Below are 27,402 nucleotides of genomic sequence, written 5' to 3' on the forward strand. Positions count from 1 at the left end.
TGGGCATGGTGGTGGGCACCTGTAATCCCAGCTACTCAGGAGGCTGAGGCAGGAGAATCGCTTGAACCTAAGAGGCGGAGGTTGCAGTGAGCCAAGATTGTGCCATTGCACTCCAGCCTTGGTGACAAGAGTGAGACTCCATCTCAAAAAAAAAAAAAAAAGAATAGTCTCTGTGGCCTGAAAGAGTGGAGAAAGTAGGAAAGAGTATAACCAGCTGGTTGAAACAACCTCATCAGATAACGGCATGTTCGTAATCCATGGACAGAAATAAAACTCAGACCAAGTCACTGAAAAGGAATAGACATGCTGGGAAATGGGATGAGGAAAGTGAGGAGGATTATAGGGCTCTTTAAAAATTTAGCACACCAGTCTATCAACAGACATTTATCAAAACTCTACTTTGCTACATATTGAATGATTCCATTTACATGAAATTTCTTTAAAAAGGAAAATCTATAAAGACAGAGCACAGATCAGTTGTTGTTTGGGGGTAAGAGCAGTGATTGACTACAAACAGGTACAAGGAAACTTTGTGGGGTATTGGAAATGTTCTAAAATTGCATTGCAGTGATCTTCACACAACTGCATAGATTTATTAAAAATCACTGTGCACTTAAATTGGGCAAATTTTCTGGTATGTAAATTATACCTCAATAAAGCTTAAAAATGCTATTGCATGGCTAGCCATATGGAAGGTGCTAATGTGTGAGTAATGAGAACTAACTATAACATCCTAAGAATGGAACTGAAGGGGTTACAGCAATTCGTGGAGATGAAAATTTAGTAAAGTAGACATGTCTATTTTTGCCTCCATTTTCATATTTCTTTCTAAAGAACTTAGTTTGACAATACCTATAGAATGGCAGAGCTTTACGTTACACAAAGTCCCATCCTTCTGGCTGAATGGACCAGGGATGAGCATCTGATTCAGGTTAGATCAATCAGATTCTCTCTTTCTCTGGAATTTGGAATTAGGAAATGAAAAATAGAGCCAGCCATATGGTACCAAGTGCTTTATTAGAAAGGCAATGTAGAATGGGAGTGTAGGGTGCCATAGCAAACTGAAGGCTTTATTTAGTAAGCATTAGTATAGAGAAAACCATAAGTCCTATAACATTAGTATAGAGAAAAACCATGAGTAAGCCAAAAAAAAAAAAGTTATCCATAAAAAAAAAAAAAGGAAAGCTGAGAAGATGAACAGAGATAAGTAGAGATCAGAGACAAGGTGGGCCCACAAGAGAAAACCAGAGTGGCTTCAACAATCAGCTGCTCCATGTCAGTCCCCAGGAGGCTTGACTGAACTTTTGGTCCTGGTGGTTAGATTGTTCATTAAGCAATATACCCCCTCGGGTGGATGTGGTATATTAGTGCTCAACCTGTATTCTAAGCTCGTTTTAGTGTACCCTCTACTACAGAGACTGGAAAGATAGAAATAACATTTTTTTAGACTTTCTTAGAATTAAGATTTTATATCCAAATTAGGTTCCACCAATTAGAAGCACTCATGGGTGGTTGGGAAAGCAGAAGTTGGGCAGAGATTGTCTTCCTGCTGCTTTGCCTATTGCTGCCAGGAAGAAAAGTTATGGAGACTGGGTTTTCCTGCAGCAGTGCCTCAGTGACCAGTCACTAACTTTGTGGGTGTCAAGAGGAGTTGTCTAACTTCACATGCTCTCACTTGTTTGTGGGAGCTAAACATTAAAACAATTGGACTCATGGAGCTAGAAAATAGAATGATGGTTACTGTATTAGTCTGTTTTCACGCTGCTGATAAAGACATACCTGAGACTGGGTAATTTACAAAAGAAAGGTTTACTGGATTTATAGTTCCACATGGCTAGGGAGGCCTCACAATCACGGCAGAAGGCAAGGAGGAACAAGTCACATCTTACTTGGATGGTAGCAGGCAAAAAAAGAGAGAGCTTGTACAGGAAAACTCCCCGTTATAATACTGTCAGATCTTGTGAGACTTATTCCCTATCACAAGAACAGCATGGGAAAGACCTGCCCCCATAATTCAATTACCTCCCACTGGGTCCTTCCCACATCACTTGGGAATTCAAGATGAGATTTGGATGTTACACAGCAAAACCATATCAGTTACCAAAAGCCGGAAAGAGTAGCGGGGTAGAGGTGGGGGTGAGGGGAATAGTGGTTAGAGAGTACAAAAAAATAGTTGAAATGAATAAGCTCTAGTATTTGATACCACAACAGGGTGACTATAGCCAATAATAATTTAATTGTACATTTTAAATAACTAAAAGAGTATAATTGGATTATTTGTAACATAAAGGACGAATGCTTAAGGTGATGGATACCTCATTTACACTGGTGTGATTATCACACATGGTTTGTCTGTATCAAAATATTCCATATACCTCATAAATGTATATACCTACTATATACCCACAAAAATTTTAAAATAAAAAAAAATTTTTTTTTTGAGACAAAGTTTCACACTTGTTGCCCAGGCTGGAGTGCAATGGCGCAATCTCAGCTCACTGCAACCTCTGCCTCCTGGGTTCAAGCAATTCTCCTGCCTCAGCCTCCCGAGTAGCTGAGATTACAGGCGTCTGCCACCTCACCTGGTGAATTTTGTATTTTTAGTAGAGATGGGGTTTCACCATGTTGGTCAGGCTGATCTTGAACTCCTGACCTCAGGTGACCCACCCACCTTGGTCTCCCAAAGTGCTGGGATTACAGGCGTGAGCCACCATGCCTGGCCTAAACTTCTTAATGTAAAATTAAAATTTTAAAAAGGAGTTATCTAGAGCAGCAGCAGCATTCTGATTCTTCGGTTGCAACTATAATAGTGTGTTCTCGAACATCGGTAGTTCCGTCGATGGTTTTTTGATTCTCCACCTCTCTTACGGTAAAAGAGATGGCAGCTCCAGTGGCCAGCCAGTTTTGCAGTATTATTCTGGGGATTATTCCTGGAGGTCTAGCTTACAGCTCACTCCTCCTAACTTTGCAACAACTTCATAAACATCTCATTTCCTTTTAAATCCTCTTCCATTTACCATAGCTAGAGTGATTTCTGTTTTCTGCACTTGAAGCTTGACTGATACACACCCCTTTTTCTTGAGCTGGTTTAAAAAGGTTCCTGTTCCTTGCAGCCAAGTGATCCTAGTCTAAGATATCGGTGGGGGTATTAAAAGTTGACTATTGCAGGCCGGCCATGTGGCTCATGCCTGTAATCCTAGCACTTTGGGAGGCTGAGATGGGAAGATTCCTTGAGCAGCCTAGGAGTTCAAGACCAGCCTGGGCAACATAGCAAGATCCCATCTCAAAAAAAAAAGTTGACAATTGCAGAGGAGGAGGTGGGGCAAGATGGCTGAATAAAAGCCTCTACTAATTGTCCTCCCCACAGGAACACCAAATTGAACAACTATTCACACAAAAAAATCACCTTCATAACAACCAAAAATCAGGTGAGTAATCATAGTACCTGGTTTTAACTTCATATTACTTAAAGAGCACATAAAAGGGTAGAAAAAACCATCTTGAATTGCAGACACCACCCCTCTTCCATCCCCTGGCAGTGGCCACATGGCATGGAGAGAGAATCTATGTGTTTGGGGGAGGGAAAGCACAGTGATTGTGGCACACTTTGCATTGGAACTCACTGCCACCCTGTCACAGTGGGAAGCAACACCATCCAAAACTCAGCCAGAACCCATGGAAGCATGGAAGAGCATTTAGACCAGCCCTATCTGGGTGGGGAATTGTCTATCCCAGTAGCTGAGACCTGAGTTCCAGCAAGCCTCATCATTGTGGGCTAAAATGCTCTGGGGTTCTAAGTAAACTTGAGAGGCAGTCTAAGCCACAGGACTGCAATTCCTCGGCAAGTCCGGGTGCTGTTCCAGGATCAGAGCCAGTGGACTTAGGGGTTATGTGACCTAGTGAGACACTGGCCAGGGTAACCAAGGAAATGCTTGCACCACCTCTCCCACAGCACCAGGCAGCACAGCTCATGGCTCCAGGAGAGACTCCTTCCTTCCACCTGAGGAGAGGAGAGGGAAAAGTAAAGAGGACTTTGTCTTGCAACTTAGATACTTGCTCAGCCACAGTAGGATAGGGCAACAGGTAGAATCCTGAGGACCCCATTCGAGGCCCTAGCTCCTGGATGACATTTCTATACACACTCTGGGCCAGAAGGGAACATGCTGCCTTGAGGAAAAGAACCCACTAATAGCAGAATTTGTCATCATCTGCTGACTATACAGTCCTTGGGTCCTGAATAAACAGCAGGGATAGCCAGGTGGTACTCACCATGGGCCCTGGGTGAGAGATTCAGAGATGTGCTGGCTTCAGGTGTAAACCCAGCACATTCCCAGCTATGGTAGCCACAGGGAGGGACTCCTTCTGCTTGAGAAAAAAGTAGAGAGGACTTTGTCTTGCAGTTAGGTACCAGCTCAGCCACAGTAGGGTAGAGCACCAAGCAGGCTCTTGGGGTTCCTGATTCCAGGCCTTGGCTTGTGGATGGCATATCTGGACCTTCCCTGGGACCAGGGCCCTAAAGGGAGAGTCCCAGGCCCAGCAGCATTCACCACAAGTTGACTGAAGAGCCTTGGGTCTTGAGTGAACATTGGTGGTAGCCAGGCAGTACTTGCTGTGGGCCTGGGGCATGGTGGCCACAGGGAGAGATTCTTCTGCAAAGGGAGGGAAGAGTATGAAGAACTTTATCTTGTGTCTTGGGTACCAGCTCAGTCACAGTAGAATAGAGCACCAGGTAGATCCCTAAGGTTTCTGACTCTAGGCCTGGCTCCTGGACGGCATCTCTGAACCCACCTGGAGTCAGGGGAACTCACTGCCCTGAAGAGAAGGACACAAGCCTGGCTGGCTTCTATTGTAGAGCCCTAGGGCCTTGAGTGAACATAGGAAGTACCAGGCAGTAGTTACTGTGGCTCTTGGGCAAGACCCAGTTATGTACTGGCTTTAGGTCTGACTCAGTGCAGTCCCAATGGTAGTAGTCACAGAGGTGCTTGTATCACTCCTCTTCCAGCTCCAGGTGGCTCAGCATACAGAGAGAGACTTTATGTGTTTGGGAGAAAGTAAAGGAAGGGAGCAAGAGTCTCTACTTGGTAATCTGGATAATGCTTCTGCATCTTATCGAAGACCACCAAGGCACTACCTCTATGAGTCTGTAAGAGCCATAGTGTTACTGGGCTTGGGGTTGCCCCTAAGGCAAATATGGCTGTAGTGATTTAAAAAAAAACTTGGATCACAACACCCGAGTCCCTTCAAATACCTGGAAAGCCTTTCCAGTACAGGTGCAAACAAGCCCAAACTGTGAAGACCACAATAAATGCTTAATTCTTCAATGCCCAGACACCAATGGACATCCACAAGCATCAAGACCATCTATGAAAACATGAGATCACCAAATGAACTAAATCAGGCACCAGTGACCAATCCCAGAGTAATAGAGATATGTGACCTTTCAGAAGAAGAATTCAAAATAGCTGTTTTGAGGAAACTCAGCAAAATTCAAGATAATACAGAGAAGGAATTCAGAATCCGATCCAATAAATTTAGCAAAGAGATTGAAATAACTTAAAAGTGTCAAGCAGAAATTCTGGAGGTGAAAAATACAATTAATATACTGACGAATGTGGGAGTCTCTTAACACAGAATTGATCAAGCAGAAGAAAGAATTCATGAGCTTGAAGACAGGCTATTTGAAAATAGTCAAAGGAGACAAAAGAAAAAAGAATTTTTTAAAAAAGGAAGTATGATTAAAAAATCTAGAAAAGAGCCTCAAAAGGTCAAACCTAAGACTTATTGGCCATAAAAAGGAGGTCGAGAGAGAGATCTGGGTAAAAAGTTCATTCAAAGGGAAAATAATAGAGAACTTTCCAAACCTAGAAAAAGATATCAATATTCAAGTACAAGAAGGTTATAGAACACCAGGTAGATTTAGCCCAAATAAAACTACCTTGAGACATTTAATAACCAACTCCCAAAGGTCAAGGATAAAGAAAGGACCCGAAAAGCAGCAAGGGGAAAGAAACAAATAACATACAGTGGAGCTCTAATATACCTGACAGCAGGCTTTTCAGTGGAAATCTTACAAGCCAGGAGAGAGTGGCATGACAAATTTATAGTGCTGAAGGACTATACTATTCTATTTATCCTAGAATAGTATATGCAGTGAAAATATCCTTCAAATAATGAAGCAGCCTTATTCAAAATAGCCAGACAAACAAAAGCTGAGGGATTTCATCAACACCAGACTTGTCTTGTAAGAAATGCTAAAGATAGTTCTTCAATTTGAAAGAAAAGGATGTTAATGGGCTATAAGAAATCATTAGAAGCTCTCTCCTATCTCCCCTCCCTCCTCTCTCCTCTCTCCTCTCTCCTCTCTCCTCTCTCTCTCCCCTCTCCCCTCTCCCCTCTCCCCACGGTCTCCCTCTCCCTCTCTTTCCACGGTCTCCCTCTGATGCCAAGCCGAAGCTGGACTGTACTGCTGCCATCTCGGCTCACTGCAACCTCCCTGCCTGATTCTCCTGCCTCGGCCTGCGGAGTGCCTGCGATTGCAGGCGCGCGCCGCCACGCCTGACTGGTTTTCGTATTTTTTTGGTGGAGACGGGGTTTCACTGTGTTGGCCGGGCTGGTCTCCAGCTCCTAACCGCGAGTGATCCGCCAGCCTCGGCCTCCCGAGGTGCCGGGATTGCAGACGAAGTCTCGTTCACTCAGTGCTCAATGGTGCCCAGGCTGGAGTGCAGTGGCGTGATCTCGGCTCGCTACAACCTCCACCTCCCAGCAGCCTGCCTTGGCCTCCCAAAGTGCCGAGATTGCAGCCTCTGCCCGGCCACCACCCCGTCTGGGAAGTGAGAAGCGTCTCTGCCTGGCCGCCTATCGTCTGGGATGTGAGGAGCCCCTCTGCCCAGCTGCCCACTCTGGAAAGTGAGGAGCGTCTCTGCCCGGCCGCCATCCCATCTAGGAAGTGAGGAACGCCTCTTCCCGGCCGCCATCCCATCTAGGAAGTGAGGAGCGTCTCTGCCCGGCCGCCCATCGTCTGAGATGTGGGGAGCGCCTCTGCCCGGCCGCGACCCCATCTAGGAAGTGAGGAGCATCTCTGCCTGGCCGCCCCGTCTGAGAAGTGAGGAGACCCTCCGCCTGGCAACCGCCCCATCTGAGAAATGAGGAGCCCCTCCGCCCAGCAACCACACTGTCTGGGAAGTGAGGAGCGTCTCCGCCCGGCCAGCCGCCCCGTCTCAGAGGGAGGTGGGGGTCAGCCCCCCCACCCGGCCAGCCGCCCCGTCCGGGAGGGAGGTGGGGGGGTCAGCCCCCCACCCGGCCAGCCGCCCCGTCCGGGAGGTGAGGGGTGCCTCTGCCTGGCCGCCCCTACTGGGAAGTGAGGAGCCCCTCTGCCCGGCCAGCCGCCCCGTCTGGGAGGGAGGTGGGGGGGTCAGCCCCCCGCCCGGCCAGCCGCCCCGTCCGGGAGGGAGGTGGGGGGTCAGCCCCACGCCCGGCCAGCCGCCCCGTCTGGGAGGTGAGGGGCGTCTCTGCCCGGCCGCCCCTACTGGGAAGTGAGGAGCCCCTCTGCCCGGCCGCCACCCCGTCTGGGAGGTGTGCCCAACAGCTCATTGAGAACGGGCCAGGATGACAATGGCGGTTTTGTGGAATAGAAAGTGGGGAAAGGTGGGGAAAAGATTGAGAAATCGGATGGTTGCCGTGTCTGTGTAGAAAGAAGTAGACATGGGAAACTTTTCATTTTGTTCTGTACTAAGAAAAATTCTTCGGCCTTGGGATCCTGTTGATCTGTGACCTTACCCCCAACCCTGTGCCCTCTGAAACATGTGCTGTGTCCACTCAGGGTTAAATGGATTAAGGGTGGTGCAAGATGTGCTTTGTTAAACAGATGCTTGAAGGCAGCGTGCTTGTTGAGAGTCATCACCACTCCCTAATCTCAAGTACCCAGGGACACAAACACTGCGGAAGGCCGAAGGGTCCTCTGCCTAGGAAAACCAGAGACCTTTGTTCACTTGTTTATCTGCTGACCTTCCCTCCACTATTGTCCTATGACCCTGCCAAATCCCCCTCTGTGAGAAACACCCAAGAATGATCAATAAAAAAAAAAAGAAAAAAAAAATTAAAGAGACATAAATAAAAAGATATCCTATGTTTAAAAAAAAAAAAAGAAATCATTAGAAGGTACAAAACTCAATGGTAACAGTAAGTACACAGACTATTATAACACTGTAGTCATGTAGAAAGACTAAAAGATGAATCTGTCAAAAATAATAACTACAACATAGTACGATAAGATATAAATAGAAACAACAAAAAGTTAAAAGCAGGGGGATGAAGCTAAAGTGTAGAAGTTAGATGGAAATGGTGGCACACACCTGTAATCCCAGCAATTTGGGAGGCTGAGGTAGGAGGATTGCTTAAGCCTGGGAGGTCAAGGCTGCAGTGAGCCATGATCGTGTCACTGCACACCAGCCTGAGTGATAGAGTGAGACTCTGCCTCAAAAAAAAATAGAAAAGAAAAAAAATAAAGTGTAGAGTTTTTATTAGTTTTCTCTTTGCTTGTTAGTTTATGCAATCAGTGTTAAGTTGTCATCAGTTTAAAAAATGGGTTATAAAATATATGCAAGCCTCATGATAACCTCAAATCAAATACAACAGATACACAAAAAATAAAAAGCAAGATATTAAAACATACCACCAGAGAAAATCACCTTCACTAAAACAAAGACAGGAAAGAAGGAAAGAGGAAAGAGAAGACCACAAAACAACCAGAAAACAAATTTAAAAAAGACAGGAGTAAGTCTTTACTTATCAATAATAACACTGAATGTAAATGGACTAAACGCTCCAGTCAAAGACATAAGAGTGGCTGAATGGATCAAAAACAAGACCAATCATCTGTTGTCTACAAGAAACACACTTCATCTATAAAGACACACATACACTGACAACAAAGGGCTGTAAAAAGCACATGGAAATTAAAAGTTGAGTGTTGCAACAAGGAGTGGGAAACTGAAGAGTCCAGTGAGACTGTGCTAGGGTGAATTCAGTCAATCAACATATTTCACTCATCCCCTACCCTGTGTCAGTCTTATACTGGGTTCTGCAGATACAGAGATGGATCACGAACATTCCCTCCTCTCAAAGAGCTCAAAAGCTAGCCGGGCACGGTGGCAGGTGCCTGTAATCCCAGCTACTCGGGAGGCTGAGGCAGGAGAATCGCCTGAACCCGGGAGGCAGAGGTTGCAGTGAGCTGAGATCACGCCACTGCACACCAGCCTGGGCAACAAGAGCGAGACTCCATCTCACAAAAAAAACAAAAACAACAACAAAAAAAAAAACTCAAAAGCCAGTTGAGGAGACAAACACATATGCATAAATCACAGTACAATATGTTATGACCCATAAAAGGAATTAATTAAATGCAATAGGAACCCAGAGAAGAGAGCAATAATTATGTCTCTGCCCAGGGTATTAGGAGATTAAAAGATGGCATTTGAGCTGAGGTGGGTCTTTTTTTTTTTTTTTTTTTTTTAAAGACAAGGTCTCATTCTGTCGCCCAGGTTGCGGTGGCACAATCATAGCTCACTATAACCTCAAACTCCTGGGCTTAAGGTATCCTCCTTGTTATGGTTTGAATATGTGTCTCTGCCCAAATCTCATGTTCAATTGTAATTCCCAGTGTTGGAGGAGGGGCCTGGTGGGAGGTATTTGGATCTTGGGGGCAGAGTTCTCATAAATGGCTTAGAACCATCCTCCCTTGGTACTGTATAGTGATCTGATCACAAGATCTGATTGTTTAAAAGTGTATAGCACCTACCCCTGCTTTTGATCCTGCTCTGGCCATGTAAGACATTCCTGCTTCCCCTTCACCTTCCACCATGATTGTAGGTTTCCTGAAGCCTCCCAAAAAGCCGACCAGATTTCAGCACCATGCTTCCTGTACAGCCTGCAGAACTGCGTGCCCATTAAACCTCTTTTCTTTATAAATTACCCAGTCTCAGGTATTTCTTTATAGCAATGCGAGAATGGACTAATACACTCCTGCCTCAGCCTCCTGAATAGCTGGGACTACAGGTATATACCAGCATGCCTGGCTAATTTTTTAAAAATTGTGTAGAGATGGTGTCTCGCTCTGTTGCCCAGGTTGGTCTTAAACTCCTGGCCTCAAATGATCCTCCCACCTCGGCCTCCCAAGTAGCTGGGATTACAAGTGTGAGCCATTGCACTCAGTCATTTTTTTGTTGTTTTTTTTTTTTTTTGAGACAGGGTCTCTCTGTGTTGCCCAGGTTGGAGTGCAGCTGCAGTGGCGTGATCTTGGCTCACTACAACCTCCACCTCCCAGGTTTAAGCGATTCTCGTACCTCAGCCTCCCGAGTAGCTGGGATCACAGGCATGCACCACCATGCCCAGCTAATTTTTTTTTTTTTTTTTTTTTTTTTTTTTAGTAGAGACGGTTTCGCCATGTTGGCCAGGCTGGTCTTGAACTCCAGACCTCAGGCAGTCCACCTACCTCTGCCTCCCAAACTGTTGGGATTACAGACGTCAGCCACCATGCCTGGCCTGCACTCAGTCTTGAGCTGGGTCTTATAGGATGAGTTATCCTGAAAAGAAGGAAGAGAAAAAGGACTCACCACCCACAAACCTTACTGAACCGAGAGTGCGTCAGTCGTTTTGAATGTATCATTCCATTTAACCTCCACAACACCCCTATAAAATAGGTATTACTCTCTCCTTTTCACAAGTAAGGAAGCTGAGCCTCAGAAAAGGTAATGATTTGAGCATGTCTCACGATTAGGTATAGTAGAAAACAAGTTCACAGAATTCACTGTAGAAAGTATAAACTGACTGGATGTTGAGTAAGCCAGTCCATTATTTCTGTCATATTTGGTTTGATGTGTTTAAGAATATTCACTCAACAAACACTCAAAAGATTGATAATGCCAATGCTGATGAGATTGTAAGGAAATGAACACTCTCATACAATTTTGGTGGAAGTGCAAACTGACATAAATTTATCGGAAGGTACTTTGACAGCAATTAATAATATTTTTAAAAACATGCATACCCTATGACCCAGCAAAACCACTTATAGGAGTCTATCCTACAAAGAAAAAAAATAGCACAAATACATGAAGTTCAAAAATGCTTACTGCAGCACTGTAACCTCATAAATCTGGAAACAACCTGAATATCTGCTGATAGGTGAATAAGTAAATAAATAAATGATACACCCATACAACTGAATACTATGCAGGCATTAAAGGGAAATGTGTGGATCTCTATGTACTAGTGTGAAAAGATGTCCTTGATATGCTGCTAAATGTAAAACAAAAACAAGCTGCAGGTAATTTGTATAACATGATCCCATTTAAACATTTTTCTTTAGACAAAGAGTCTTGTTGCCCAGGCTGGTATCGAACTCCTGGGCTCAAGCAATCCTCCCACCTCAGCCTCCTAAGTAGCTGGGACTACAGGTACATGCCACTGCACCTGGCCCATTTTTTGTTTCTAAAAGGAACATACAAAGATGTCAGCACACCTGTTAGGATAGCTACTATTAAAAAAAAAAAAAAAAGGCAGAAAAGAACAAGCATTAGTGAAGATGTGGAGAAACTGGAATCCTTGTCCACTGTTGGTGGGAATGGAAAATGATACAGACACCATGGAAAACTATAGAAAATGTTTTCTTTACAGATTTAAAAATAGGGCCAGGCATGATGACTCACACCTGTAATTCTAGCACTTTGGGAAGCTGATGCAGGAGGATCTCTTGAGCCCAGGAGTTTGAGACCAGCCTAATCAATATAGTGAGACCCCCATCTATATACAAAATTAAAAAATTAAAAATTAGGCTGGGCGCGGTGGCTCACATCTGTAATCCCAGCATTTTGGGAGGCCAATATGGGAGGATCACAAGGTCAGGGGTTCGAGACCAACCTGGCCAACACAGTGAAACCTTGTCTCTACTATAAATACAAAAATTAGCCGGTTGTGGTGACATGCGCCTGTAGTCCCAGCTACTTGGGAGGCTGAGGCAGGAGAATCACTTGAACCTGGGAGGTGGAGTTTGCAGAGATCCAAGACCACGCCATTGCACTCCAGCCTGGGTGACAGAGTGAGACTCTGTCTCAAAAAAAAAAAAATTTTTTTTTAAATTAGAGGCCAGGTGCAGTGGCTCACACCTGTAATCCCAGCACTTTGGGAGACCAAAACGGGCAAATCATTTGAAGTCAGGAGTTCGAGACCAGCCTGGCCAACATGGTGAAACCCCATCTCCACTAAAAATACAAAAATTAGCCAGGCGCGGTGGTGCATGACTGTAATCCCAGCTACTCAAGAGGCTGAGGCAGGAGACTCACTTGAACCTGGGAGGTAGAGGTTGTAGTGAGCCAAGATCGCACAACTGCACTCCAGCCTGGGCAACAAAACAAGATTCCATCTCAAAAAAATAAAGTAAAGTAAAATAAAAATAGGATTACCATATTATCCAGCCAGTCCACTTCTGGATATATACCCAAAAGAATTGAAACCAGGGTCTCAAAGAGGTATTTGTATACCTATGTTTATAGCAGCATTATTCACAATTGCCAAAAGGTGGAAACAACCCAAGTATCCATGAAAGGATGGATGAATAAGCAAAATGTGGTATATACATACAATGGAATATTATTCAGCCTTGAAAAGGAAAGAACTTCTTGCACATGCTACAACATGAATGAACCTTGGCAATATTATGCTAAGTGAAATAAGACAGTCAAGAAATACAAACTCTATGATTCTACTTATATGAGATACCTAGAGCAGTCAAATTCATAGAGACAGAAAGTACAACGGTGGTTGCCAGGGGATGGGCTGCAGGGGAGAGAAAGGAGGTTATTGTTTAATGAGCATAGAGTTACATTTTGCAAGGTGGAAAGTATTCTGAAGATGGATGGTAGTGGTAGTTGCACAACAATGTGCATGTACTTAATACCACTGAACTGTACACTTTTTTTTTTTTTTTTTTGAGAAGGAGTCTCACTCTGTCGCCAGGCTGGAGTGCAGTGGCACCATCTCGGCTCACTGCAACCTCCGCTTCCCAGGTTCAAGTAATTCTTCTGCCTCAGCCTCCCGAGTAGCTGGGACTACAGGCGCCCACCACCATGCCTGGCTAATTTTTGTATTTTTAGTAGAGACGGGGTTTCACTCTGTTGGCCAGGATGGTCTCGATCTCTTGACTTCATGATCCACCCGCCTCAGCCTCCCAAAGTGCTGGATTACAGGCATGAGCCACCACACCTGGCCTGTATTTTTTAACTAGAAATAAAAATAGGCTGGGCAAGGTGGCTCGATCTTATAATCCCATCACTTTGGGAGGCGAGGTAAGCAGATCACTTGAGCCCAGGAGTTCAAGACCAGCCTGGTCAACACAGTGAAACCCTGGCTCTACAAAAAATACAAAAAAATTTGCCAGCGTGGTGGTGCACGCTTGTAGTCCCAGCTACCCAAGAGGCTGAGGTGGGAGGATTGTTTGAGCCTGGGAGGTAGAGGTTGCAGTGAGCCACTGCTCTCCAGCCTGGATAACAGAGCAAGAACCTGAAAAAAGAAAGAAAAGAAAAAGAAATAAAAATAAAAACTCAGGCTGAGCTCAGTGGCTCATGCCTATAATCCCAGCACTGTGGGAGGTCAAGCCAGGCAGATCACTTGAGGTCAGGAGTTTGAGACCAGCCTGGCCAATATGGCAAAACGCTGTCTCTACTGAAAATACAAAAATTAGCCTGGCGTGATGGTGAGTGCACATAATCACAGCTACTCAGGAGGCTGAGGTAGGAGAATTGTTTGAACCTGGGAGGTGGAGTTTGCAGTGAACCTAGATCATGCCATTGCACTCCAGCCTGGGCAACAGACTATGTCTCCAAAAAAAATAAAAATAAAAATAAAAAAACTGAAATGGGTGATTTGAACCCAGAACCAGTCTCAGTAGCCTCCTTTGAACTGAGGAGACTCTTCACTAGGCAGGGCTCTGGTGAAGGTCCATACTCACTCCTGAATCTGCAAGGTCAATGGAGCTTATCTAGCCTGAATCTGTCCCACTGTATAGAGGAGCAGGACAGGGTGTGGGAAGCCTTCAGGAACTGGGCGAACATCTCCAAGTCCAGGAAGGGGAAGGTGTGCCCAGGTCCTTATCTCCCCATGGAGATGAGTCTGTGGGATGGCTATGGTGGTAGGCACTAGAGGTATGGAGATGAATAAAATATAATTATTGCCCTCAAAAGGTTGACCAATGACAATTCACATCTGAAATAATAATTTTTACATTCATCTGTATAGCCCCTAACAATTTATAAAACACTTTCTTCTTCTCACTTGATTCTCCCAAAAGCCATATGGGGAAGCCCCATTTTACAGATGAGGAAACTGAGACCCAGAAGGAAAGTGACTCACTTAGAAGGAAAGTGACTCACTCAAAGTGCACATACCAACTGCCTTTTACCAACTGCTTTCACAGCCATTAATTCATTTACAAGGGGCACAGCCTGGCTTAGGAGAGGGACATGGGGACAGCATTGCTGGGCTCTGAGATCGTGTGTGTGGTGTATTTCTATCAAGTGATGAATTCTGTTCAGCTGCTTGAGCCAAGAATTCCATCCAACTCAGCAGCATGTAGGGAGTCAGTTCTATTCCAAAGGGCAAAGCTGTTCAGTACATCACTATGGAAGGAACAAAAGGATCTCTCTCTTGCTGTGTCCTCTGATTCCTACTGTCTTAGTTTCCTTTGCATTTTCTGACTTTGAGATATAGTGCTCACAATGCTGTATGCAAGTGTTTTTTGTTTTTCACTAGAATATTAATCTTCACAATGGCAAGAATATTTAATTTTTAGGTGTCTTCTAAGACTGTTTCTTTTTTAAAAAACTGCTACCTTCAGTAAAAAATACATCCTACATATGTAGTAGAAACAACTTTTCATAAAATAATACTTAACCTTAGTCTGTGCAAGTATTTTCTATTCTATTTTATATTATTTCATTTTTTAAAAAATTCTAATCTTCTAAATGTAATGTGGTATTCTGGAAACGTAGAACAGAAAAAGGACACTAGTGGAAAAACAGGTGAAACCCAAATAAAATCTATAGTTTAGTTAATAATATTACATTAATGTTAATTTCTTACTTTAACAAATGTACCATGGTTATGTAATATGTTAACATTAGGGGGAGCTGGGTGAAAAACATGTGGAAACTTTCTGAACTATCGTTCTATGCTTTTGGTAAATCTAAAATTATTCCAAAAGGAAAAGTTTATTTAAAAACAAAACAAAAATTTCCAGTCTTGACCATTTAAACTGATATCATGACCCACTCATGGGTCAGAATTCACACTTCCAGTGTGATGTCTGCTGTCTTTTTGGATAATGCTGACAGGAATCATTGCAGTGATTTATAAAAGCTCATTATTGCTCTTTCTCCGACACACACACACACACATGGTGCCACGGCCCACCTCTCACAGTCCTTGGCCTCTCTGCCTTGTCTTACATTCATTTTTTATCTATATGGCCTGCCTTTGAAGGGCTCTCCCTGCCTGTATCATCTGAGCAACCTCAAAAGAATACATGGTACATATTTGTTAAATGAATGCCCGAAGAAATAATTGTATTTTTAACACCCTTGCTTGTAATTTTTTTTTTTTTTTTTTTTTTTTTTTTGAGACAGAGTCTTGCTCTGTCACTAGGCTGGAATGCAATGGCAAGATCTCAGCTCACTGCAACCTCCGCCTCCCATGTTCAAGCATTTCTCCTGCCTCAGCCTCCTAAGTAGCTGGAACTACAGGCACACGCCACCATGCCAAGCTAATTTTTGTATTTTTAGTGGAGACTGGGTTTCACCATGTTGGACAGGGTGGTCTCGAACTCCTGACCTTGTGATCCACCCGCCTTGGCCTCCCAAAGTGCTGGGATTACAGGCATGAGCCACCACGCCCTGCCAAATTTTATTCCCTCTTCAAACTGCAAGAAATTTTTTTTATACATAGAAGTCTAATATAAAGCCTTCTATTAAATTTACCAAACTTGGCAGAAGGTCTTTAACTTTTCATATTAATGAGTGATACCCACTCACTACTAAAAAAAAAAAAAGAGAAGGATAATTTTTAAAGGGAGGAAAATAAAATTTCAAAAATTCACTTATAATCCTACCAGGAATATCTATTGTTAACATTTTTTTTCTTTGTGTTGAGATGGGGTCTCATTATGTTACCCAGTCTGGTCTTGAACTCCTGGGCTCAAGCAATCCTCGCAGTTTGGCCTCCTGAATACCTGGGACTACAGGTGCATGCCACCACACCTGGCTTATTGCTAACATTTTGGTGCATAGTCTCTTCCACATGTATACATGTAAATAAATATATTTTTCAGACAAATGTTCCTACTATTCATACAGTTTTAGAGATGTCTTCACTCAAGCTGTTCCCTCATCCTGGAATGCATTTCCTCCTTTTTATCCTTCACTGTATAGTTCCTACTCATCCTTCTAGATCCAACCCATGATCCCACCTCTGGGAAGTCTTTCATGCCCACTCTGCCCTTCTCAACTTTAGAGGAAGTAGGTACTGCCTCTTAAGTATTCCAGTGATACTTTCGTTATACCTTTATTACACTTTTTGTCTTAATTAGTTGTTTACATGCCTGTCTGTCCCAACAGTCAGGGAATGTTAATTTAGAGTTGATGTGGGCCCTGGATCCATATTGCTCCCTAAGCACTGAGTTGGTTTGTGCTGACACTGCACACACACACACACATACACACACAGAGCAGTAGACTTTCCGGCATTTTGGCTTCTACAGAACAGAATGGATACAGCCTGGCTAAATGTCTCACCCTTTTGACCTTCTCTAGCACTCACCTGATAAATCCACCATCCAGCATCAGCGAACACTTCCATCTCTGCTTCTACACCTGGCTCTGAAAGTGGCTGGAAGACCTCTGAACACACGCATCTGAGATAAGCAAGCCCTGACCATAAGTGAGTGGAAGAAGTTTGCTCCCTTGGAAAATTTTGTTATAATCAGTTCATAAAAATGAAAATTCACAAACACAGAATTTGTATAGCAAAGATGAATATACATAACTCAGATTCAACTGAGAGCCCTCCTGCCCTTAAAGATCAAAATATAAACCGGGTGCGGTGGCTCACGCCTGTAATCCCAGCACTTTGGGAGGCCGAGGTGGGCGGATCACAAGGTCAGGAGTTCGAGACCAGCCTGGTTAACATGGTGAAATCCCGTCTCTACTAAAAATACAAAAATTAGCCAGGCATGGTGGTGCATGCCTGCAGTCCCAGCTACTCAGGAGGCTGAGGCAGGAGAATTGCTGGAACCCAGGCAGCGAAGGTTGCAGTGAGCCGAGATTGTGCCACTGCACCCCAGCCTGGGCAACAGAGTGAGACTCCACCTCAAAAAAAGAAAAAAAAGTCGAAACATAATTAACTGGATTCCTCCCTCCAATTCCACGTCTTGTGGAAATCCAAAGCCCTCCTCAAGATTTCCGTTCTGGCTGGGTTCAGTGGCTCACACCTGTAATCTCAGCACTTTGGGAAGCCGAGGCAGGAGGATCATTTGAGCCCCAGAGTTCAGGATCAGCCTGGGCAACACACTGAGACTTGTCTCCACACACACAAAAAAATTAGCTGGGTGTGATGATGCATGCCTGTGGTCCCAGCTATTCAGGAGGCTGAGGCAGGAGGATTGCTTGAGCTTGGGAGGTTGAGGCAGCAATGTGCTGTGTTCACACCACTGCACTCCAGTCTAGGAGACAGAGTGAGACACTGTTTCAAAAAAAAAATTCAGTTCTTTCCCAACAGACTTCTCTTACCACAGCCAGCTAGCCTCTGGGCTCCTGGCTCCCCACATGGTCCTCTGTTCTGCAGTGTGCAGATCCACATTCAAAACTTAGTCCCTCCAATTTCCACCAAAAACCCAATCCCGGGTAATTAGCCGGGCGTGGTGGCAGGCGCCTGTAGTCCCAGCTACTTGGAAGGCTGAGGCAGGAGAATCGCTTGAACCCAGGAGGCGGAGGTTGCAGTGAGCTAAGATCCCACCACTGCACTCCAGCCTGGGTGACAGAGCGAGACTCCGTCTCAAAAAAAAAAACAAAAAACAAAAAACAAAAAACAACCCACTCCCATAGAGCAGTTTTGAAGTTAGTAGAATTTGCTGGCAATGTGGAGGATGAAGGGGAAATCCAGGAGAGTTTCACATCCATAGCAAAGCAAACAATTCAAAATGGAAGGACCACTATCTGCCAGAGGGGAGCTTCCCCGGCCCTTCACTCCACCCGGACTCAGTCTCTCCACTGACTCCTCTCTTCTTCATCCTTCTCTCTTCTCTCTACTCCCTGTGGTGGCATCTTTTCTCTGTGCCTGCTGAGCATTCACTGAATTCGACCCCTCTTCTCGGGTAATAAGCAACAGCTTTCCCTTGGGGAACCACCCTTACCCCTTCTCTCAAATGGCTTGAGCAGGGCTGATCCCACCCTGTTCCAGTGATCCATACAAGTGACCAGTCAGTGCATCCCACCTCTCTGGTCACACTGATGCTCAGGGACAGGCTTGTGGGAATGTTTGGTGAGTGAAAGACTCTTGCCCCCAGGGTCTCTGATAGGAAGATCAGTATTGCTCCTGGTGTCTTTGCCACCCCATGTGAAGGCCTGCTTGAGAATGAATCAAGATAAAGAAAAACAAGAGTCAAGACATGAAGAGAGAGCTCAAATATGGATGGGAAAGCTCCAGTCCCTGAATCCAAACGTTTCTAACTGGATACCTGGGTTTTCTTTGGTCTAGCTAGATAGAGTTAAATTTTTGTCATTTGCAATTGTGAGCACCCTGACCAATATCTTCCTCCTTCTGCTTCCTTTTCAGAAGCAATAAACCAAATTCCTCTTTGCTTCATGCAAAGCAGCTTCCCCTTCTCTGAGCTGGGAATCTGCTGACACCTGTGCCTGCTGGGCATTTAAATGTTTTCACCAAGATAGTTTTCTCCTTATGACATATATTGGCGCCAAAGATTAAGATGACCTTTTTATTCCCAACTTGTCACAAAAATATTTATATAATTGAGACTATACTGTAAATACAGTTTTGTATCCTGCTTTTGTGTGCGTGTATGTGCATGTGTATGTGTTTTTTTCTTTTTAAAGTTTTCTTAATTTTTCAGTTTTTGATCAACAAATATTTATCCAGGAACTACATATATGTCAGCCATATACAAGAGCAACTAACATACTATGTTGGAAATTTTCCCATGTCATTAAAGACTTCATAAATGTCTATTATTTTCAACCAGCACAGAATATACAATCACACAGTTTTAAAACTAAACGTTTATTGTTAAAACATTTAGTTTTATTTCCAAGTTTTATGAATAATGATAGACACATAATGTGTCTAAATCTTTCATCATTTCCTTAGGATAGATTCTCAGAAGTAGAATTCCCAGAGGAACTTCTTATTTTACCCCTCCCTGCAAAAATGCAGAAAGAAATTTACCAGACACCACTGTAGTAGTGTCAGTCTTCTCTAACCCCACATAGCTGGAAGAGACCTGCCCTGAAGTGTCTTCAGATGGCAGAAGCATCAGGCTTCTTCGCAGGAGCTTCCTGTTCCCTCTGAGTGCCCTGCCTCAGCTGCCCTCAAGGAGCTATGAACTCGCCAGCAGCTGTCCCACTCCACCAAGCAGTGGGCACTCTGTCAACCCCACAGACCTCGCAAGCTGGCATGGTGCACATATCTGCTTGTAAGGACTGTATGAAAAGAATGGCATTCAGGGCAAGCCCAAAAAGGAGAGATGCCAAGACAAGAAAGTCAGGGCTAATTGTGACCAAATTTTCTTTTCAAGCCTCTTTTCTTTTTACTTTTCTTTATTTTCCTTAATAAGCACGTGTGATTTATAATGGAAAAAAATTAACTTATGGAGGAAAACAATAACAACATGAATTTCTCAAATTTGATGTGAGGTTGGAGATGATCTTCGGGTTCCTGGGAAAGCAGCTGTGAGTTATCTGGCTTGGCAATGCCTCCTGCAAATCACTGGCTGACTCTGAAAAATGCATCTGTACTTTAGTCACCAGAAGGAAGGGCTGATTCCCTCTGGGGCCACCACAAAGGGCAATCGATGACTATCTTCCAGACCTGGAAGAGGGTTCCAAACTGCAATGTGTAAAACCAAGGAGTGGGTCTAAGGCCAATCAGTGGGAGCCTCCGAGAGACAGATCTTTGACTCACTGCCAGAACTTCTTAGCAAACAGAGTAGTGCAAAGATAAAACCAGCTGCTCCAGGAGGTGGTGGCCTCCCCATCCTATGCAGCATTAAAGCATATGCTGAGGCCAATTGCCCTGGATGGGTTGGTGGCGGTTCAAGTGCAAGGCAAGACAGCAGTTCTCAAACTGTTTGGTCTCAGGACCTTTTTACACTTTTAAAAATTATTGAGAACCCCAAAGAATGTTGTTTATGTGGGTTATCTCTATCAATATTAGCCATATTAGAAATTGAAATTGGAAGTTATAAAGTATTAGGTCAGGCATGGTAGCTCATGCCTGTAATTCCAACACTTTGGGAGGCCAAGATGGGAGGATTGCTTAAGCCCTGGAGTTCAAGACCAACCTGGCCAACAAAATGAGATTCCACCTCTATAAAAAAAGTTTAAAAATTTTCTGGGTGTGGTGGCACATGCCTGTGGTCCCAGCTACTCTGGAGGAACACTTGAGCCCAGAAAGTCGAGGTTGCAGTGAGCCATGATCGCACCACTCAACTCCAGTCTAGGCAACAGAGCAAGACCTTGTCTCAAAAATAAATTAATTAGTAATAAAATAAAGTATTTATGAATCTTTTTTTTGTTTTGAGATGGAGTCTCCTCTCTCTCCAGCCCAGGCTGGAGTGCAGTGGCGCGATCTCAACTCATTGCAGTCTCTGCCTCCCATGTTCAAGAAATTCTCCTGCCTCAGCCTCCCAAGTAGCGGGGATTATAGTCACCCACCACCACACTCAGTTAATTTTTGTATTTTTAATAGAGACAGCGGTTTTACCATGTTGGCCAGGCTGGTCTCAAACTCCTGACCTCAAGTGATCTGCCCGCCTCAGCCTTTCAAAGTGCTGGGATTATAGGCGTGAGCCACTGCACCCGGCCCCTATTAATTTATTTTAAAACAACCTTAATAAATTATTAGTTTGTTAATATAAATAGCACATTTCCATGAAAAATAACTACACTTTCTAAAGCAAAAAAAAAAAAATAGTGAAAGGAGTAGCATTCCTTATATTTTTGTAATCTCTTTACTACCTAGATTAATGGAACACAGCTGGATTCTTATATTTGCTTCTACATTCAATCTGTTTCAGTGTGTTCTTTGGGTTGAAGTATAATGAAAAAAATCTTATGTGTGGCTAGAAAAGGCAGGAGTATTCTAATTGCTTTTTTCTGATAAGTTTGAATATTCTTCTTTGACACCACATTAAAACTTGACGAGTGGGAGTTTCTCAAAGGTTGTTGCAATGTGGAATCTGAAATCATATCAATGAGCTTTTCATACTGCATATACTTGTGTGAGAATGAGACTGAAAAAGACAAATAATACCTTAGTATTATTATGAAAGTGGGTTTAACTTTATGGACACCTGAAAGAGGTTTTGGGGATCTCTTGTGTTCTTATACCATACTTAAGGATTGCTGAGGTAGGGACTTGAAATAGAAGACTGTTCAGTCATTCATTCATTGCATATACGTGCATTGAGCACCTAAGGTGTTAGGCACCTGAAAACACTTATGAGTGCTCACCATTATCCAGACACCATATCAAGTATTCTACAGACATTACTTCATTTAATCTTCAAACAATTGTGTGAGGGAAATTTGCCTACTTTTACAGATGAAGAAACTGAAGTATAGAAAAGTCAGATACTTGCCACCAGATCACACAGCCTGATAGCCTAGTGGAGCCACGATCTGGAGCCAGGATGAGAACCACAAGGCTAAAACTGCTTCTCTGTACACTTTTTAAAATTTATTTTTTATTGCAGTAAAATATACATCATGTAAAATTTACCATTTTAACCATTTTTAAGTGTACCATTCAGTGGCATTAAGTACTTTCACAGTGTTGTGCAACCATTGCTACTATTTTTTCTTTTTCTTTTTTTTTTGAAATGGAGTCTTGCTCTGTCCCCCAGGCTGGAGCGCAGTGGTGCAATCTCAGCTCACTGCAGCCGCCACCTCCCGGGTTCAAGCGATTCTCCTGCCTCAGCCTCCTGAGTAGCTGGGATTACAGGTCCCTGCCATCAGGCCCAGCTAATTTTTATATTCGTAGTAGAGACAAGATTTCATCATATTGGCCAGGCTGCTCTCAAACTTCTGGCCTCAAGTGATCCACCCAACTTGGCCTCCCTAAGTGCTGAGATTACAGGCGTAAGGTAACATGCCTGGCCATTGCTACTATTTATTTATCTGGCTTTTCTCATCTTCCCAAACTGAAACTCCATATCCATTAAACAACAGCTCCCCATTCCTCTCCCCATCCCTTGCCCTCGATAACCACCATTCTACTTTTTGCCTCTATGAATTTGCCTATCCCAGGTATCTCACGTAAGTGGAATCACACAGTATTTGTCCTTTTGTGACTGGCTTATTTCCAGTAACATCCTCAAATTTCATCCATGTCATAGGTGTTGCAGAAATACTTTCTTTTTTAAGGATGAATAATATCCCATTGTATGTATATGTCACATTTTGTTTATCATCATCTGTTGATGGGGGCTTCTCAGTACATTTTAAATAAACAGTGACAAGAAGTGTGAACAGTGCTGTGTTAGAAGTAAGAGCAGGTCCTAAGAAGGAGCAATCAGCCCAGCCAGGTCCGGCGCCAGGGACTGGTGCCTGAGCTGAGATTTGAGGGATTAGTGGGAGCTGGGGAGGAAAAAGGTGGCAAGGGAGGAACATCAAGGCCTGGAGGTATAAGAGAGAAAACTGCAGCCAGTCCAGCAGGGCTCCCAGTCAGGTTTGGATGGAAAGGGGCATGAAGTGAGATTAGAGAGGCAATGATAACCAACGACTGACATTTAAAGACATTTACAATGGGCCAGGCACTGTGCCAAGCCCCTTGCATGTTTTAACTCATTTAAACATTACAGCAACCCTGTAAGAGAGAAAACCAGCTCTTCTTGTACATAGACGGAAGGCTAGACACTATTCTCAGGGCTTTGCATGAAGTAACAAATTTAACCCCACAACGACATGAGGTTGGAGCTGTTATTACTCCCATGTTATAGGTAGGAAAGTAAGGCATAGAGAGGATTCAAAAAATTGCCCAAGGTCATGCCAGATCAAACCTGGATTTAAACCCAGGTTTCAGCAGCTTTGCTTGTCACTACTGTGCCTGACAATTGAGGACATAAGGACAAGGTAAGGAATTTAGATTTTTAGCTGGCAGGCCCACTGGACAGGTTTAGGCAGAAAGCAGCCAGTTCCGATTTGTATTTTATAATCATCCTATTAATAACTACTGTATGGAGAATGACAGGCAGGGACAAGACAGAGAGAACAGTAAGCCAGGTGAGAAGGGGAATGGAGGAGGGGTTGGTGACAATACAGGAAAAATGGTGGGTTGTCGGGGTGGTTGAAAGAAATTAAGGAATCAGAATAGTCAACATATGGTGGTTTATTTATTTATTTTCTTCCTGATGGACCTATGACATACGATGATTTATTAAAGTGGGGCCAGGGATAACTCCCAGGTTTCTGAGAGAATAACAGTGCATTTCATAGAGATTGGGGGGTACATGGGAGGAGCAAACTTAGGGTTGGGGAGAAGCAAGGGATAAAAACAGTGAGATAATATGAGAAAGACTGAGTTTTGAGCACATCCAAGGAGCGTGATTTAAGCATATAGGCTCCATGAAGATAAAGATCTTCATCTAGTTCATTCACTGGTCTGGCCCAGTGCCAAGAACAATACCTGGCATAAGAAGATAACCCCATAAATAGTTGTTGAATGACCGAGTATGGATCTAGCAGAGAAAAAAGCTCTGAATTGGAGGTTAGGAAATTACAATGAGAACTGGAGCTACACAGCTGGTCAGCAGCATGTAGAGTGAGGACAGTTGTAAAGACAGAGCTCTGGGGACCCTAGCCTTTAAAAGAGTAACAGAGGAAAAGCAAGTGAACCTTAGAGAGACTGATGAGTGGCCAGAGATGGGGAGCAACCAGGGGCCAGGGGGGCTGTCAAAGGCCATCAGCAACCAGAGCACCTTAAGATTCTCTCCTTCACGGGGTCCTCTGGTCTACGTCTCTAACCAGCAAGGGGACACTCAGATTTTGAAGGTAAAAGAGGCTTTGCAGCTCTGCCTTCTTTAAGCACATTAAGAGCAACATGCATGTTAAGAGCAACTAAGGTTTGAACAGTGCTTTCCAGTTTATAAAACATGCCTTCTCAGATTCTTCTTTTTCTAATTTCAAATCCAATATACTTTTTTTTTCTTTTTCAGACAGGGTCTCACTCTGTCTCCTAGGCTGGAGTTACAGCAGTGCAATCATAGCTCACTGCTAACTCGACCTCCAGACTCAAGCAATCCTCCCAACTCAGCCTCCCGAGTAGCTAGGACCACAGGTGCACACCACCAAACTATTTTTAATTTTTAAAAATAATTTTATAGAGATGGGGTCTCCCTACATTGCCCTGGCTGGTCTTGAACTCCTGGCCTCAAGCAATCCTCTCACCTTGGCCTCCCAAAGCACTGGGATTACACGCATGAGCCACCACACCTGGCTCCCCAATATACCTTTTACCAAACTTTTTTTATTCAGGTAAAAAGTATCTACTATAAGATGCAATAATCTCAAGAGTATATAATGATGAATTTTTGCATCTATATGCATTTGTGTAACCACCATCCAGATCTCTCCAGCACTCCAACATTTCCTTCATGCCCCTTATCAGTCCCACCCCTCTCCCCACCGGGATAAGCATTCTTCTGGCTTCTATAACCTTCTTTCAGTTTCTGAACTTTCATCAGTTCTTAATTTTTCATATAAATGGAATCATACAGTATGTGTTACTTTGTGTCTGACTTCTCTCACTGAAAGCTATGAGATTCATTTGTGATGGTGCATATTTTAGTAGCTCGATTTCATGCATTGCAAAACACATGATTATCCTGGGAGATACTACTGCCTACCTCCACAGGCTGCCTTGGGAATTACATGTGATCATGCCTGGCAGCCACCCTATAAAATGTTTATTGATTACCTAGGTTTGGTTCAATACCAAAACAATTTAATTCTTACAGGGGAGTCATTATCCCCATTTTTACGTGATTTGGTGCACATTGGAGGGGAGTGTGACAGCAGTATGTTGGTAAACCTGTCCTGTGAGAGAAAGACATCCCTAATTTGAGGTGTTTGTCAATTTTCGTAACTCCTCCCACCATAGTTGATATTAAACTATCAGTGGTTTAACAACTGGCCAGTTCCAGCAAACCACTGAGTGCCGCAAATTCTAAAGCTCAGAGCAGCTAAGAATTTGCTCGTGGTCTCATAAGTGGGCACTGAAGACCAGCCTTTTCTGACTCTAATTCTCTATGCCTCTCCCCTACATAGAGATTCTTTTTTTTTTTTTTTTTTGCGACGGAGTCTCGCTCTGTCTCCCAGGCTGAAGTGCAGTGGCGCGATCTTGGCTCACTGCAAGCTCCGCCTGCCGGGTTCACGCCATTTTCCCGCCTCAGCCTCCTGAGTAGCTGGGACTACAGGCGCCCACCACCATGCCCGGCTAATTTTTTTGTATTTTTAGTAGAGATGGGGTTTCACCGTGTTAGCCAGGATGGCCTCGATCTCCTGACCTAGTGATCCGCCCGCCTCGGCCTCCCAAAGTGTTGGGATTACAGGCGTGAGCCACCGCGCCCGGCCCAGGGATTCTTTAAAATGAGCCAGCATCTGGCCGGGCGCGGTGGCTCAAGCCTGTAATCCCAACACTTTGGGAGGCCGAGGCGGGCGGATCACAAGGTCAGGAGATGGAGACCACGGTGAAACCCCGTCTCTACTAAAAATACAAAAAATTAGCTGGGTGCAGTGGTGAGGGCCTGTAGTCCCAGCTACTCGGGAGGCTGAGGCAGGAGAATGGCGTGAACCCGGGAGGCGGAGCTTGCCGTGAGCCAAGATCGCGCCACTGCACTCCAGCCTGGGCGACTGAGCGAGACTCCACCTCAAAAAAATAAATAAAATAAAATAAAATGAGCCAGCATCTGCTGATGGGCCTGAGTCTTGCTGATGTACCTCAAATGGACCCCCAAATTAATAATTTTATAAATCTATATTTTCACTAGTAAACTACTAAATGAATTATCCATTATAAAATGTGATGTTCATAAACAAACACTGGGCTGTTACAAGAGTTTATTAAAGCCTCTAAATTTTCAGTATTCCACTAGGAAATTTGTCTCCCAGGCCAATTGTGGCAACCCCAGTTTGCCTCCTACTGTTCATGGCCTCACACAGATAACTGGTGATATAGTTTGGATATTTGTCCCCACCCAGATCTCATGTTGAATTGTAATCCCCAATGCTGGAGGTAGGGCCTGGTGGGAGGTGTTGGTTCATGGCGGGTGGATCCCTTATGGTTTGGCGCTGTCTTTGTGATCGTGAATGAGTTCTTGTGAGATCTGGTCATTTAAAAGTATGTGGCACCTCCCACCACACTCACTCTTACTCCTGCTCTCACCGTGTGAAGTGCCTACTTCTGCTTCACCTTACACCATGAGTAAAAGCTCCCTGAGGCCTCCCCAGATGCCAAGCAGATGCTGGTGCCCTGCTTCCTGTACAGCCTGCAGAACCATGAGCCAATTAAACCTCTCTTCTGTATAAGTTACCCAGTCTCAGGTATTTCTTTATAGCAATGCACAAATGGCCTAACATAGCTGGAATGCCCTGAATTTGGGGAATAGACTCTCTGTTATCAGATCATCAAATCATTGGTGTTGTCTTGAGTTTGTCATGATTTTCAATTGCTGTTATTCTTCCTCTTTAATTTTAAATAACTGTTAGCTTACCTTTCCCTTTTTGGTTTAGGTTGTTAAGCATTATAGAACATGTAGGGAGACATATTTTCACCAGTAGCATTTTTGTCCTATAATCTGCTAATAACTGGATATTAAGACGTGTACTTTGTGATTCACTTATGACTTAGCCATACCCCCATTGCTAAAGCCAATGTAAATATTACCTCTCTAAATTTTGTTTTCATGGTCATACTTCTGTGGTGATACGTGTGACTGCCTGTGAAAGGGTGCTATTTAAACAACTTGCAACACACTCTCAATATAATGCATGTGCAATCATGCCCAGCTAATTGTTGTACTTTTAGTAGAGACGGGGTTTCACCATGTTGTCCAGGATGGTCTCAATC

At 43.9% G+C, this 27,402-nt stretch overlaps 1 protein-coding gene across 3 annotated transcripts in view; it reads right to left on the reverse strand.

The window, feature by feature from the left end:
- PAK1 (p21 (RAC1) activated kinase 1) overlaps positions 1-27,402 on the reverse strand; it is a 207,993-nt gene that overhangs the window by 161,036 nt on the left and 19,555 nt on the right. For 2 of the 3 annotated variants that reach the window (XM_047427054.1, XM_047427049.1), the window contains exon 1: positions 10,490-10,560. The exons of the other annotated variant lie outside the window; for it this stretch is intronic. The gene's annotated coding sequence lies outside the window, so the exon portion shown is untranslated. Of the gene's footprint in view, positions 1-10,489; positions 10,561-27,402 lie in introns of those variants that run through there. 3 annotated transcript variants of the gene reach the window in all.

Source organism: Homo sapiens, chromosome 11 (genome assembly GCF_000001405.40).
Source record: "Homo sapiens chromosome 11, GRCh38.p14 Primary Assembly".
Lineage (NCBI taxonomy): Eukaryota > Metazoa > Chordata > Mammalia > Primates > Hominidae > Homo > Homo sapiens.